Genomic DNA, 12,313 nt, shown 5'->3' on the forward strand with positions numbered 1-12,313 from the left:
CACGGCAGGGCAGTGGGCTGCTCAGCACCAGTGGCCTCAGCCCAGTGCCAGCGTGCTGGGACGGGTACACTCGTGCCTGTTAACCGCACACCTGCGTGCAGCACGGGCACACTCGTATACAACGGGCACACATGCACGTCAGCCGCACACTCATGCACGTTCATGTGCTGTCTCTAGTGTTTTCTGAGAAACGGGATTTTCCTTGGGTGAAACGAGGAAGTCGTAGGAGACCCACCTCAGATGCTCGGGTGCACATCTGGGGAGAGTCAACCGCCCAGCATGGCTTTTGGCTTTGGGGGATTCCGTTCCTTTGCTGCTGCCTTGGCCACAGGCCTCCACAGCCCTCTGCTGTGTCTGTGCACCTTCTCCATCCCTCTCTCGTTTGGGCTCCGGTTCCCGCAGAATTGGCATCCAGGTGAGGTGCCTGTGGGCAGAGCTGTTGATGGAAGAGGGTGTGGTCAGAGGCAGGGCAGTTATTGTAGGAAGAACCCCCAGGAGCAGGTGGCCGACGCAGGCACCCTCAGATCTGAGATCCAGACAAGAGGCAGCGCTGGGTTCAGATCACCACACAACCTGTATCAGCTTGTGATCCCGAACAAAAACCCGTCTTCCCAAGCCTGTTGACGATGATGGTAACGGCACCGTGCTCACTCCAACGCCGTGGCTGTGAGCGGAGCCAGCTTCAAAGCACTGGGTCCAGGGCGCCTGCTCGCGGTCACCCATAGGGTGGGTGGACACCCATGGCGGCTTGCACGTTGCACGTCCCCCGGCTCAGCACCGAGCAAGTGGGCCTGGACCCTGAAGGATGTGGCTGCTGCCCGACTCCAGAGTGACAAATATAGCAAAAGAGCTTGTTGGTAAATACTGCCTGAAAACATTGGCTTAATTTGTCTTCTCAAAGCTGTTTTTGTTTTCTGTGGGGTTTTTTTTTTGGACGTTCCCAGCTGACTAAATTTGCCTTCTTCCTTCAGGGACCATCTTGGAATAATCTTGCTCAGCTGAATAATGTTGCAGACTAAAAATAGCAAATGCAGCCCCGAGCCTTCCTGTTGCCTCTAGGGCCTGTCCATCCCGTCAGCCCACGGTGCCTCTACAAACACAGGTCCCTCCTCGCCGTGGTACAATCGCCACGGCACAGGACCGAGCGTGGAGAGTTGCAGCAGTGCAGGAAGCTTTTCCTTTCTCTCAAAACAGTTACTACCAATGTTTGTTTATTTGAGATAGGGTCTTGCTCTGTCTCCCAGGCTGGAGTGCAGTGGTGCAATCGTAGCTCACTGCAGCCTCAACCTCCTGGGCTCAAGCAATCCTCCCGCCTCAGCCTCCCAAATAGCTGAGACTACCAGTGTGCACCACCACACCTGGCTGACTTCTTTGTATTTTTGGTAAAGATGGGGATCTCACTATGTTGCCCAGGCCGGTCTCGACCTCCTAGGCTCAAGCGATCCTCCTACCTCAGCTTCCCAAAGTGCTGGGATTACAGGCGTGCACCTCTGTGCTCGGCCCATTCGATTTTTAAAACCTTAAATGACCCTGCATCTTCTGCTGCCTACTTTTTCGAGGGCTTTTGGTACTTTGGATTATTAAGTTGTGTGAGTGAACATGGTAATGACCTTGCCATAGCAGCTCTTGGTGCTCTGAATGGCTGCGCACCAGGCAGTGCCCAAGACCTCCGTGCTCCCAGCTGGGATTCTGTGCACATCCAGAGTTTGTGTTTTGGGGGTGGTTGTTGTTGTTGTTTTCTTTTTGAGATGGAGTCTTCCTCTGTCACCCAGGCTGGAGTGCAGTGGTGCAATCTCGGCTCACTGCAACCTCCGTCTCCCGGGTTCCGGAGATTCTCCTGCCTCAACCTCTCGGGTAGCTGGGATTACAGGCACCCACCACCACGCCCGGCTAATTTATGTATTTTTTTGTAGAGACGGATTTCACCATGTTGGCCAGGGTGGTCTCGAACTCCTGTTCTCAAGTGATCTGCGTGCCTTGGCCTCCCAAAGTGCTGGGATTACAGGCGTGAGCCACTGTGCCTGGCCCAGAGTTCGCTTTTTCTTTGGTTGGGGAGCTCTGACTTAATTTCTCTCTGAAGCCAAGCATTTCTATTTTGTCCAAATGTGTCAATCAGGGGTCTGTGCCTCGTTGTGTGTGTGTGCGCTGCGTGGCTCCACGGCCCCCATCCTAGACTGTGGTCCAGGCCAGGGCTCTGGGCTCAGCAGACAGCCAGGCTGCTTCCACTGGTCTGTGAAGCTTCTGTCTCAATGCTCAAGGTGGCCTCAGTGTTCAGCATGGTTGCCAGTGCCCCGGTCATTATGTTTCCATTCCAGAGGGGAGAGAGGAGGGAGGGATGGTGGGCGGTGATCCTCTGGGTAGCTCTCTGCCCACCTCTTCTGAGACTCCCACGAGGGCTGTGCCGTAGGCCACACCCACTTTGCATTGCTGGCCCCCAGCTGCAAGGGGAGCAGGAAAGTCACCTTTTAGCTGAGTGCGTGGCCACACAGAAAAATAGTGGGGACAGGGAGAGGAGAAGTGGGTTTGGGGGGAGCCCCGCCCTCCTAACCCTGCCTGCTGCCCTCTGTCCCCAGCAGGAGCTCCCCCGAGGCCATCCAAGCGCGGTGCACCCGCCACCCACAGCGTCCTCCGCGCCCACGTTGCCCTAAACCCCACTGTGCTGTGCTCTCTCGCAGTTCCTGCAGGCGCGCGTTCTCTCTCTGAATTTGTTTCATTTCACTGCGAGTTGGGGTCGCGGGGGTAGATCGGAGCTGCCTCTTGAGAATAGCAGTGCCCAGGCTTTGGCCCAGGTGGCCGGAACGCCCCTTGGAGCACCGACGCCATCGGCTCCGGGAAATGCAGCGAGCACAGAGCCCAGTCCCTTGGTCTGACCGGGGGCGCTGCTTTTGTTCAGAAAGCGGTGGGGGTGATGTCATCGGATTTTTTTTCACTGCTGTTGCCCAAAGTGAAACCGGGCTTAGTTGTTGTCTCAGGAGCCCAGCCAGCCAGGGGGACACGGCCTCCTGCCCACAGGCAGAGGCCCGGGGCCAGATGTCCGCTTTCTCTTTCGCTCCGCAGGAGTGAGAAGCAAGGACCTCACTGCCTTTGTGCGGCCGGGCCCCTCCGGCCAGTCTGCGTGAACGGACTCTCCGGGCCTCGCCCATGCTCCGGGCGTGTGGCTGTGTTGGGAGGACGGGAGCTCTACTGCTTGGCAGTGGACACACCAAGGCTGCCGACTGGCCCAGTGGGTGGCGATGCCACTTACATGTGATTTCTCAATCTCCGTCAACTGCCGTGGCTGCCCGGGCTGGGCTGCCCTGTAGGTTTCAGTTCTTCAGGGCAACAGGCTGGGATCCAGGCAAGGTGCCTGCACTCAGAGGGGTAGGGAGCCAGGGGCACATGTGCTGGGCGTGGGCTGGGGCTTCTGGCTGGCAGGGGTGTGGGTTTGGGCCTGGTGGGATTCCCCATATTAGGAAGGTGAGCTGAGCTCGGCTGCAGTGGCTGAAGCAAGGAAGTGATTTGTCAAGCCATTTAGACACTGTCCCTGTTTTCTTTCAACAAACAGAACTTTTTTTTTTTTTAAGCAGCGAAGACCTTTTGCTCTCTGTTGGGGTGTGATTGGGGTTTGCATTTGGGGGCTCTCTTGAGCTTTGCCGCTGTCTTCAAGGATGGTATCTAAAGGGAAAGTCTTAAAATAAATAACTTTGAATTTGGATAGGAATGTCTATGCAGTGAGGGACAGGAGGCTTCCGTGTGTTTCACTAGAACGTTCTTGTTTTTGGCCTACGAATGCTTTTACTTAGGAAGCACGAGACCTGTGCTGCAGACCGTCTGTTGGAGCTGGCCGCGGCAGGACGGCGATCACCTTCCTGGCAGGCCCCTCCTGGATTCTGCCCTCTGCTTCTGAAAGCGTTTCCTCCATCAGCTTTAGCAAAACTGGGCCTGGCAGATCATTTGAAGTCAGGAGTTCGAGACCAGCCTGACCAACATGATGAAACCCTGTCTCTACTAAAAATACAAAAAAGTTAGCCGGGCACAGTGGCACGTGCCTGTAGTCTCAGCTACTCAGGAGGCTGAGGCAGGAGAATCGCTTGAACCCGAGAGGTGGAGGTTGCAGTGAGCCAAGATTGTGACATTGCACTCCAGCCTGGACGACAGAGCGAGACTCCGTCTCAAAAAAAAAAAAACCGTGCCTGGGCCTTGGAGGTGCCTGAGTCCAGAAGACAGACAGCGGGAGCTCACTCCTGCCATGTCGCTCTTGTTTCTTCTCCCCTCTGCAGGGCGGCAGCTGCTTTGCCCTCAAGACTTCTCTTTTCGCCCACTCTATTCATAGGGGGAAATGACAACACAGGCGCTTTCCCTCAAACTCTGTGTATTCATACATCACCAGAGTGTTCAGAGAAGTGGGATATTTTGGTGAGTTAATTTACTTAATGTGCTTAGCACACAGTACCTGGTATATATAATAATAGCAGATATTAGTTGTCAACTACTAATTTTAATTTTTTTTTTTTACAAACGGGGTCTTGCTCTGTCACCCAGGTTGGAGTGCAGTGGCACAATCATAACCCATTGCAGCCTTGAATTCCTGGGCTCAAGTGATCCTCCTGCCTCAGTCTCCTGGAGTAGCTGGGACTACAGGCATGCACCACTATGCCAGGCTAATTTTTTTATTTTTATTTTTTGTAGAGACGGGGTCTCACTCTGTTGCCCAGGCTGGTTTTGCACTCCTGGCCTCAAGTGATCCTCCCACTTTGGCCTCTCAAAGTGTTGGGATTACAGGCGTGAGCCACTGCTCCCAGCCTATTATTATTATAGAATTTCATGTTAAGGTTTGCAGGTTATTCTTTTACTTTATTTTTAAATTTTATTTGTTTATTTTTTTGGCAAGGGCGTCTTACTCTGTTACCCAGCCTGGAGTGTGATGGTGTGATCTCAGCTCATTGCAACCTTCGCCTCCCGGGTTCAAGTGATTCTTGTGCCTCAGCCTCTGGAGTAGCTGGGATTACAGGCATGCAGCACCACGCCCAGCTAGTTTTTATATATTTAGTAGAGACCCGTTTCACCATGTTGGCCAGGCTGGTCTTGAACTCCTGACCTCAGGTGATCCTCCTGCCTTGGCCTCCCAAAGTACTGGGATTACAGGCTTAGCCACGGCGCCCGGCCTGATTTTGCAGGTTGTTCTAAAGTGCGGTGTTTCTCCTTTTAGGCTTCAGTGCTGAGGGCGGCCTGCTGTCCGTCCCTGCGGCAGACTGGGCCCTGTCCCACCTTCCCGTCACTCCTCGATGTCACATCAGAGTGCTCTCTCCTGGGTGGGAACCCGCGCACGGAGGAAACACTTTACCAGAGTAAACGAGATTATAACTTGTTTGCCAGAGAACCTCTCCTGTGGCCATGCCTGAACCTCTCCTGGGACTGTCCGTGGTCTTCACATTGGTGCTTGGACACCCGTCCTTCGGGAGGGGAGGAAAAGCGGCCGGTAAAATGGAGACAGTCGGTGGCGTGTGTTTGCCGATTGGACTGGCATTGGTATAGACAGATACCAATCACTGCACAGACATTTCCAGGGGCCCTTCCCCAGCCATGTTTAGTGGCACTGACCTCAGGCAGCTGGGCCCCCGGGACAGCAACCAGGGGACTGCCCTGGCCCTGGATGGCAGCCGGGACCGGCTCACAAGCTTCTGTTTGGAGCAGTTCTGTTGGCAGCCCCCCGCCTCCAGTGGAGATGTGACACGACTCTTTCTTGCCTGCCAAACGTTCTCTGATTCTTTGGATCATCGATCCTAACACAGCAAAGGCGGTATTGTTGCTGTCCTTTCAAGGTTAATCCAGGATCAGAAAAGTCTAATCATTTCTCTGTGGTTTTTGGAATTTCCAAAGAGCACCCAGATTTTAACCCTCAGTCCTCGGGGTTGTCCGGCTGCGGCTGTGCTGCTGTTGAGCATTAAGCTCATTCCACTTCACATGTAAACTTGTTTCTATGCATTCACCTCCTGGGAGACTCCACATTCCTGAGAGAACTGCATGGTTATGAACTCTTACTCGTGTGCACTAAAGTGCACGTGCTGTGTGTGTACTGACCCTCTGCCCTGTGGGAGCCACGTGCTGTGGGGAGAACAGACCAGCAGCAGATGGGACTCCTCCTCCAGGAACCTGCTACCAGCTAGGCGTGGTGGTGCAAGCCTATACTTCTGGCACTTTGGGAGGCTGTGGCAGGAGGATCACTTGAGGCCAGGAATTTGAGGCCAGCCTGGGCAACATAGTGAGACCACGTCTCTTTTTGAAAAAAAAAAAAAAAAAAAAAGAAAGAAAAGAAAACGTATTTTTCTTAAGTCGGGCATGAGAGTGAGCCAGGGAATTCAAGGAAGGCTGCCTAGATAGAGAAGGGGACCCTGGGGAACAGTCTTAGAGGACGCAAAGTCTATGCAGATAAACCAGCGTCTGGTACTTGGTATCAGTCAGGTGGCCAGTGAATAATGACTACGTGGAATTACTGTGGACAGCATTTTGAGATCTGCAGATTAAGCCATTTTGACTTCCCAGAAGCATTTTCTTAAATCAGCGTAGAGACAGAAGATGAAAGTTAACCTGAATTGCTCGTCGCAAGCAAGCTCTGCCCGGGTCAGCCCCAGAGGGTTGCAGAACACTGTGTCTGTGTCCGCTGTCTTAAAGAGCCTAGTCCATCTTTACGCGGTCTTTTTACGTCTGTTTAAGCCACACAGCATGGTGGGGAGCGGAGGTGATTTCGGAGCCTACTCTCCGATCCTCAGGATCCTCTTCGGGAGCAGCAGGCAGTGGCTTTCTCCTGGGCCAGGCAGGGTTGTCTGGGGAGTGGAACGTCTGCTAGAAATGCAGATCGCTGGGGCCACCGCCGTTTGGCCGTGTCAGTCATCTGGGGGTCCCTTAGCCTCCGCAGAGTAAAGCTGTGGGAGTCACCACGGGTCCCCATGTTGGGATTGGGAAGCAGTCACCTACCAGATGAGCGTTCCTTCCGCGAAGGGAAGGTGGGGGGATTTTGAAGGAGCTGTGAACACCGAGGGTGCCGTCCTCGCCTGTGCTGCCATGGGGTGCTCAGGACTGCCGGGCCCCGGGAGCCCCACCCGGCAGGACACACACCTGAGCCCCAGGGAGGGTCGGTGGCCATGGCTGTGCTTGGCCGCCTCTGTGGGGCTCTATCCTAATTCAGTGAGGTCTCTCGCCACCTTCCTCCAGGGTCTTCCTGAGACAGAGACCGAGACTTCAGCTTCAAAAAGAAACCCTGGCCGGGTGCAGCAGCTCACGCCTGTAATCCCAGCACTTTGGGAGGCCAAGGCAGGTGGATCACCTGAGCTCAGGAGTTTGAGACCAGCCTGGCCAACATGGTGAAACCCCATCTCTACTAACAATACAAAAACTAGCCAGGCCTGGTAGTGGGTACCAGTAATCCTAGCTACTCGGGAGGCTGAGGCAGGAGAATCGCTTGAACCCGGAAGGTGGAGTTTGCAGTGAGCTGAGATCCAGCCACTGCCCTCCAGCCTGGGCGACAGAGCGAGACTCTGTCGAAACAATTTAAATAAAAAAAAGAAAAGGAAAAAGAAAGCCCGGCTTCGGTCAGACCGTTGTCTGCGTTTTTCACCGCGTGTCACCGACTCAGCATATGGGCTTGAGTATCTCGCTGTCTTTTCTTTTTCCAAATAGGACATGCTTATTTGCCTGATTACAAAAATAGATGCATTCTCCCTATTTAAACAAATTAGGCCCTATGAACGCATAAGAACTTATAAACACTAAAACTGCTACCGGGTTTTAATTCACACACACCACGCACACCCCCACATTGTTGTCACTGCGAGAACGGAGGGCCCAGAGCCGAGTACACTCGGCCAGGGTGAGTGATGGGCAGGCACAGAGCTGTGTCTCTGACCACCCTGCTACCCAGCTTGCCACCGCTGTCAGCCGTGGGGTTCAGGAGAACAGGGTTGTGGCATGGACCCAAAAGTGGAGTCACGGTTGCAGCTCTGGTTCCTGGAGGAGGGACGCAGGCCCAGTGGAGAGGGCGTGGTTTGCAGGCACCAGTGCTGGTTCCGTGTCTGTCGGGGAGGGGATGGACGTTTGTGTTGCTGTCAGGGACCTTGCCGACCCAGCCCCCGCCCCGCCTTCAAGTTTGTGCCTTATTTTCCAAAGCCGCCACACTTGAGACGTCCTTGCTGCGGGTTCGTCTGTAACCTGTGTCCCTTCACTGCCATGCACTGCTCTTAGCTGCTGGCGAAGACGTGGTCTCTGCAATAGAGAGGCGCCTATGGCTGCAGCCACCTGTGTTCGTTTTGGGGTTGTCATAAATAAATGCCTTCCATTTTTAATAGAAAGACAGTATTTTAGGTTAAAAAATTTAAGGTTGTCAGAATTCTCTGATTTGGGGATTTTATATGTTAACGTTTCTTTCAAAACCATTTCCTGAGGATGGGCGCGGTGGCTCACTCCTGCAATCCCAGCACTTTGGGAGGCCGAGGCAGGAGGATCCCTTGAGGCCAGGAGTTGGAGACTAGCCTGGGCAACATAACAAGACCCTGTCTCTACAAAAAATCAAAACCATTTGCTGAACAGTCTTATTTCTCGGAGGAGTTTAAGCAAACACTGCAGGGCCTCCGGCATTCCAGTTTCAGGCCTTATCTGATGTGGCCCACCCTGGGACCGTCACCTGACTTCCTGTCCCTGCACAGAGAACTTGCTGGTAGGAGGTGGTGAGGGGCCTCCGAGGTGGTGGGTGAGCATCCCTGCAAGTCAAGCTCTGCTGTTCCCCGGCCTTCCCTTGAGACTCTTGGGGGCCTGGGCCCTGCGGGACGTTTTCCCCCTGCCTCAGAGCCAAACCACTTAACAGAACCAGGCGAGCCAGGTTTAGTACTTTATCGGGTATCCTAAAGACACGTTGCAGCCTGCAAAATTCGAAAAGTACCTGGAGTATGTAACAGCTTTTGCCTCCCATTCTTGAGTCTTTCATTTCTTCAAGGACATGGTAGCAACATTTAAAGAACCTTTTGAAAAGAGAGAGGCGGCCGGGCACAGTGGCTCACGCCTGTAATCCCAGCACTTTGGGAGGCCAAAGCGGGTGCATCACCTGAGGTCAGGAGTTCAAGACCAGCCTGGCCAACATGGTGAAACCCCATCTCTACTAAAAATACAAAAATTAGCCGGGCATGGTGGTGGGCACCTGTAATCCCAGCTACTCGGGAGGCTGAGGCAGGAGAATCGCTTGGACCTGGAGGCGGAGGTTGCAGTGAGCTGAGATTGCACCACTGCACTCCAGCCTGGGCAACAAAGCGAAACTCTGCCTCAAAAAAAAAAAAAAAAAAAGAAAACAGAGAGGCCTGCTTATAACACCATCCTTATCCTGGGCTGTTTTCCTTTGTCCTTCCAGTCCTTGTCTAATAACAAGAATAACTGAAGCACATTTTCAGTAACCGCTTGCTACGTGCCAGCCGTCCGGTCAGGACTGATGTTCACGGCATGGAGACCTGAGGCCACACGGAGGCCGGGCTGGCCAGGGCGGGGCTCAGATTCAGTGACTTGCCCAGGTGCCCCCAGGGCATCTGAGCAGCCCAGGCTCCAGCCAGGCAGGTCTGACTTCACCTCCCTTGCCGTGAGCCGCTGCACTGTTCCACTTGGGCTTCTGCTACATTTATCAAGCTGTTGTAAACGTTTCCATATTCCCCCACGCCTCAGTATTTAGCGAGGGCTCCTTATGTGTGACACGCCCTGTGTGCGTCTGATGACGTTGCTTGGAATCATTTGTTCAGTCCACAAGAACTCTGATTATGCACCATCATTACCCCAGTTTGGCTGATGAGGGAAACCAGGCCAGTGTATGAAGAGACTGACCAAAGATCCCAGTGCCGACAGTTCTCCATTCATTCATTCATTCATTCAGTCACCATCATAGCCCACTGCGGCCTCCGCTGCCCAGGCTCAAGCCATCTTCCCTCCTCAGCCTCCCAAGTAGTTGGGACTACAGGTGTGCGCCACCACACCTGGCTAATTTCTTAAACAATTTTTAGAGACAGGATCTCACTGTGTTGCCCAGGCTGATCTCGAACTCCTAGGGTCAAGCGATCGTCCCACCTCAGCCTTCCAAAGCGCTGGGATTACAGGCGTGAACCACCGTGGGATTACGGGCATGAGCCACCGCGCCAGCCAATATGCATAGTTTTAAATGGCCATAGTAACGCAAGGCTTCAAACAGAAGTCCTCAGGTCTCACTTCGCAGAGGCAGTGGCTTTTAAAGCATCCTGATTAACAGTCTGAGCTGCTATTCACTGAGTTTTCGCCCTGTTGTAGACACACATGGCTTTCCGTTAGAGAAGACAGGGTCTGGCTCTACTGCTGCCCTCCTCATCCGGAGCCGCGGGTCTGCGCTGCACGCCCCTTACACGTGTGCCTCTTTCCCATAGCGCAGAGTTTATCTTCTTACTCGTCCAGCGTTCTCTGTACCTATTGTGAATTGATCTCTGGACGCTGACCCAACTCTAGAACTTCGCTCAGCAGTTGGGTAAGACGACATTCCTGTCCTTCAGTTCTCCTGGGAACTTTCTCCTGAGAGCCCTGGCTCTCTCCTGCACAGCTCTGGGCTCCTGCACAGCTTCTGTTCTGGGGCTTTTCACCCTCTTCCTGGATTCTTTCAGTTAGGACGTAGTTTTGATTTTGCAACAAAGGTCAAAAATAACGAGGGCCAAGTTTGTTTCTTTTATACGTGACGGTCTTTTTTTTTTTAATTTTATTATTTTTTTATTTCAAGCTGGGTTCTTGCTGTGTTGCCCAGGCTGGTTTCAAACTCCTGGGCTCAAGCAATCCTCCAACCTCATCCTCCCAGAGTGCTGGGATTATAGATGTAAGCCACCCTACCCAGCCACACATGACCATCTTAATGTCAGCTATGACCTGGAGGCACCAGACTTTTTCTATTACGTTGCTTGTTGCTCCGTTATGCAGTGTGCCTTTATGGTCCACTGTGGCTGCTCGGCTCCTGCCATCACAGCAGTATCTGGCTGTTGGGAAGGGGAGGAGTGAAGAAGGCCCTTGGTTCCTCATATAGACATGACCCATTTGTATCCCATTGACCAGCTCATAGTCTCATGGTTGCAAGAGGGGCAGAGAAACATGGTCTTCAGTTGGGTGGACGTTTCTCTGTCTCCATGTTTGCTATAGAAGCAGGAGAGAAGGTGCTCTGGGAACTACAGCCTCAGCCACAGTCCAGGAAGCTGCCCAGTGCCCACATGGGAACTGCATCCTGCAGGTATCGCTCGTGAAAACCGGCCTGGCGTCTTCTGGCCCTTGCTCTTGGGTCTGCTGTTTCTCTCACGGGAGAGGCTGCTCTGAGGTCCCCGAAGCTGCAGGCTGGGTGGGACGGTGGGAGCCTTTCCCTGGTCTTTAGTCCGGCTGACATCCTCTCTCTGGCCGTCATAGCCAGCGCCATGGGATTGGGGAAGCCACAGGGACCTCCCAGCACGCGCCAACCCTGGACTTCCCCCAGAGCTCATCTGGGTGGCAGGTGCTGGCCACGTGGAGTCTGCCCTCCACGTGCCGTGGGTGAAGCTTCACCTGGCGCAGGGAAGGCCATCAGACTTCCAGCTCGTCACCCATGTCCTCAACCCCTAACCACTGAAGCGATGCCTGTGTTTTAACCTTAGTAACCGTGCCGCCCAGCTCCTAGAAGACACGCGACTCCACAGCAGTTAGGAGACAGCAGATGCATTCCCAGAGCTCCTGAGAAGGAGCGGCTTGTGTGGGGTGACTCTATCTCAAGCCGTAGGCCTCCCAGACAGAGCCTCTGAAGCTCCTGTTTTCTTTGTCCTTCCTGAGACAGATCTCATCCAGCCTCTTCCTTTTGATGTTTTCTGAGTCACTTTAAACTGTGCAAGATTTCCCGTTTCCCCTGGCTGTGGCTCTTGTGGTCCTGGCCTTGGTGGGCAGGTGCAGGGCCCGCTCCCTCCTTGGGAGGATGAGATGCTCTGTGGCTTCCACCACTCCCCAGATCGTCTGCTTCCTCCTTGCCCCTCAAACTCCTTTGCCTCAGTCCCTGTCTTCCTTGATGGGGGCATTCCCCAAGTGTCTGTTCTTGTGGAAGGGGAGGTGCCCCCCGGCCCACCCCCCCGCTGCCCAAGTGTGCGTGGGCATCGGTGCACGGGGCTCCCTCCCTGGGGCTTCATGGGGGGCTCAGGAAGGCTGGGTCTCAGGCTTTTCTCCTGCGCCATTGTCTGCTGATAGCTGGGCTCAGCTCTGGAAGCTTGGGGGGCTGAGAGCCTCTGGTCCTCCTGCAGAATTTCAGGTCGCAAGGCTATTTTTGGCGTGAGATGTCACTGTC

The 12,313-nt window shown here is 53.9% G+C and overlaps 1 protein-coding gene and 1 long non-coding RNA gene across 2 annotated transcripts in view, besides 2 other annotated features; both read left to right on the forward strand.

The window, feature by feature from the left end:
- The window catches only part of FOXK1 (forkhead box K1), an 89,148-nt gene that overhangs the window by 40,174 nt on the left and 36,661 nt on the right, over positions 1 to 12,313 (forward strand). The window lies entirely within an intron of this gene.
- LOC124901581 (uncharacterized) lies at positions 17 to 7,553 on the forward strand. The gene is made up of 2 exons (XR_007060199.1): positions 17 to 4,395; positions 5,189 to 7,553. It is a non-coding gene; the product is annotated as an uncharacterized LOC124901581 (long non-coding RNA).
- Positions 1,625 to 2,211: an enhancer, noted in NCBI's record as "H3K27ac-H3K4me1 hESC enhancer chr7:4763724-4764310 (GRCh37/hg19 assembly coordinates)". NCBI's record gives its function as "activates a minimal SCP1, AML or CMV promoter by ChIP-STARR-seq in primed H9 embryonic stem cells {active_cell/tissue: H9 hESC(primed)}" and the evidence as "EXISTENCE:reporter gene assay evidence [ECO:0000049][PMID:30033119]".
- Positions 2,799 to 3,138: an enhancer, noted in NCBI's record as "active region_25560". NCBI's record gives its function as "activates an Ori minimal core promoter by ATAC-STARR-seq in GM12878 lymphoblastoid cells {active_cell/tissue: GM12878}" and the evidence as "EXISTENCE:reporter gene assay evidence [ECO:0000049][PMID:35858748]".

Source organism: Homo sapiens, chromosome 7 (genome assembly GCF_000001405.40).
Source record: "Homo sapiens chromosome 7, GRCh38.p14 Primary Assembly".
NCBI lineage: Eukaryota > Metazoa > Chordata > Mammalia > Primates > Hominidae > Homo > Homo sapiens.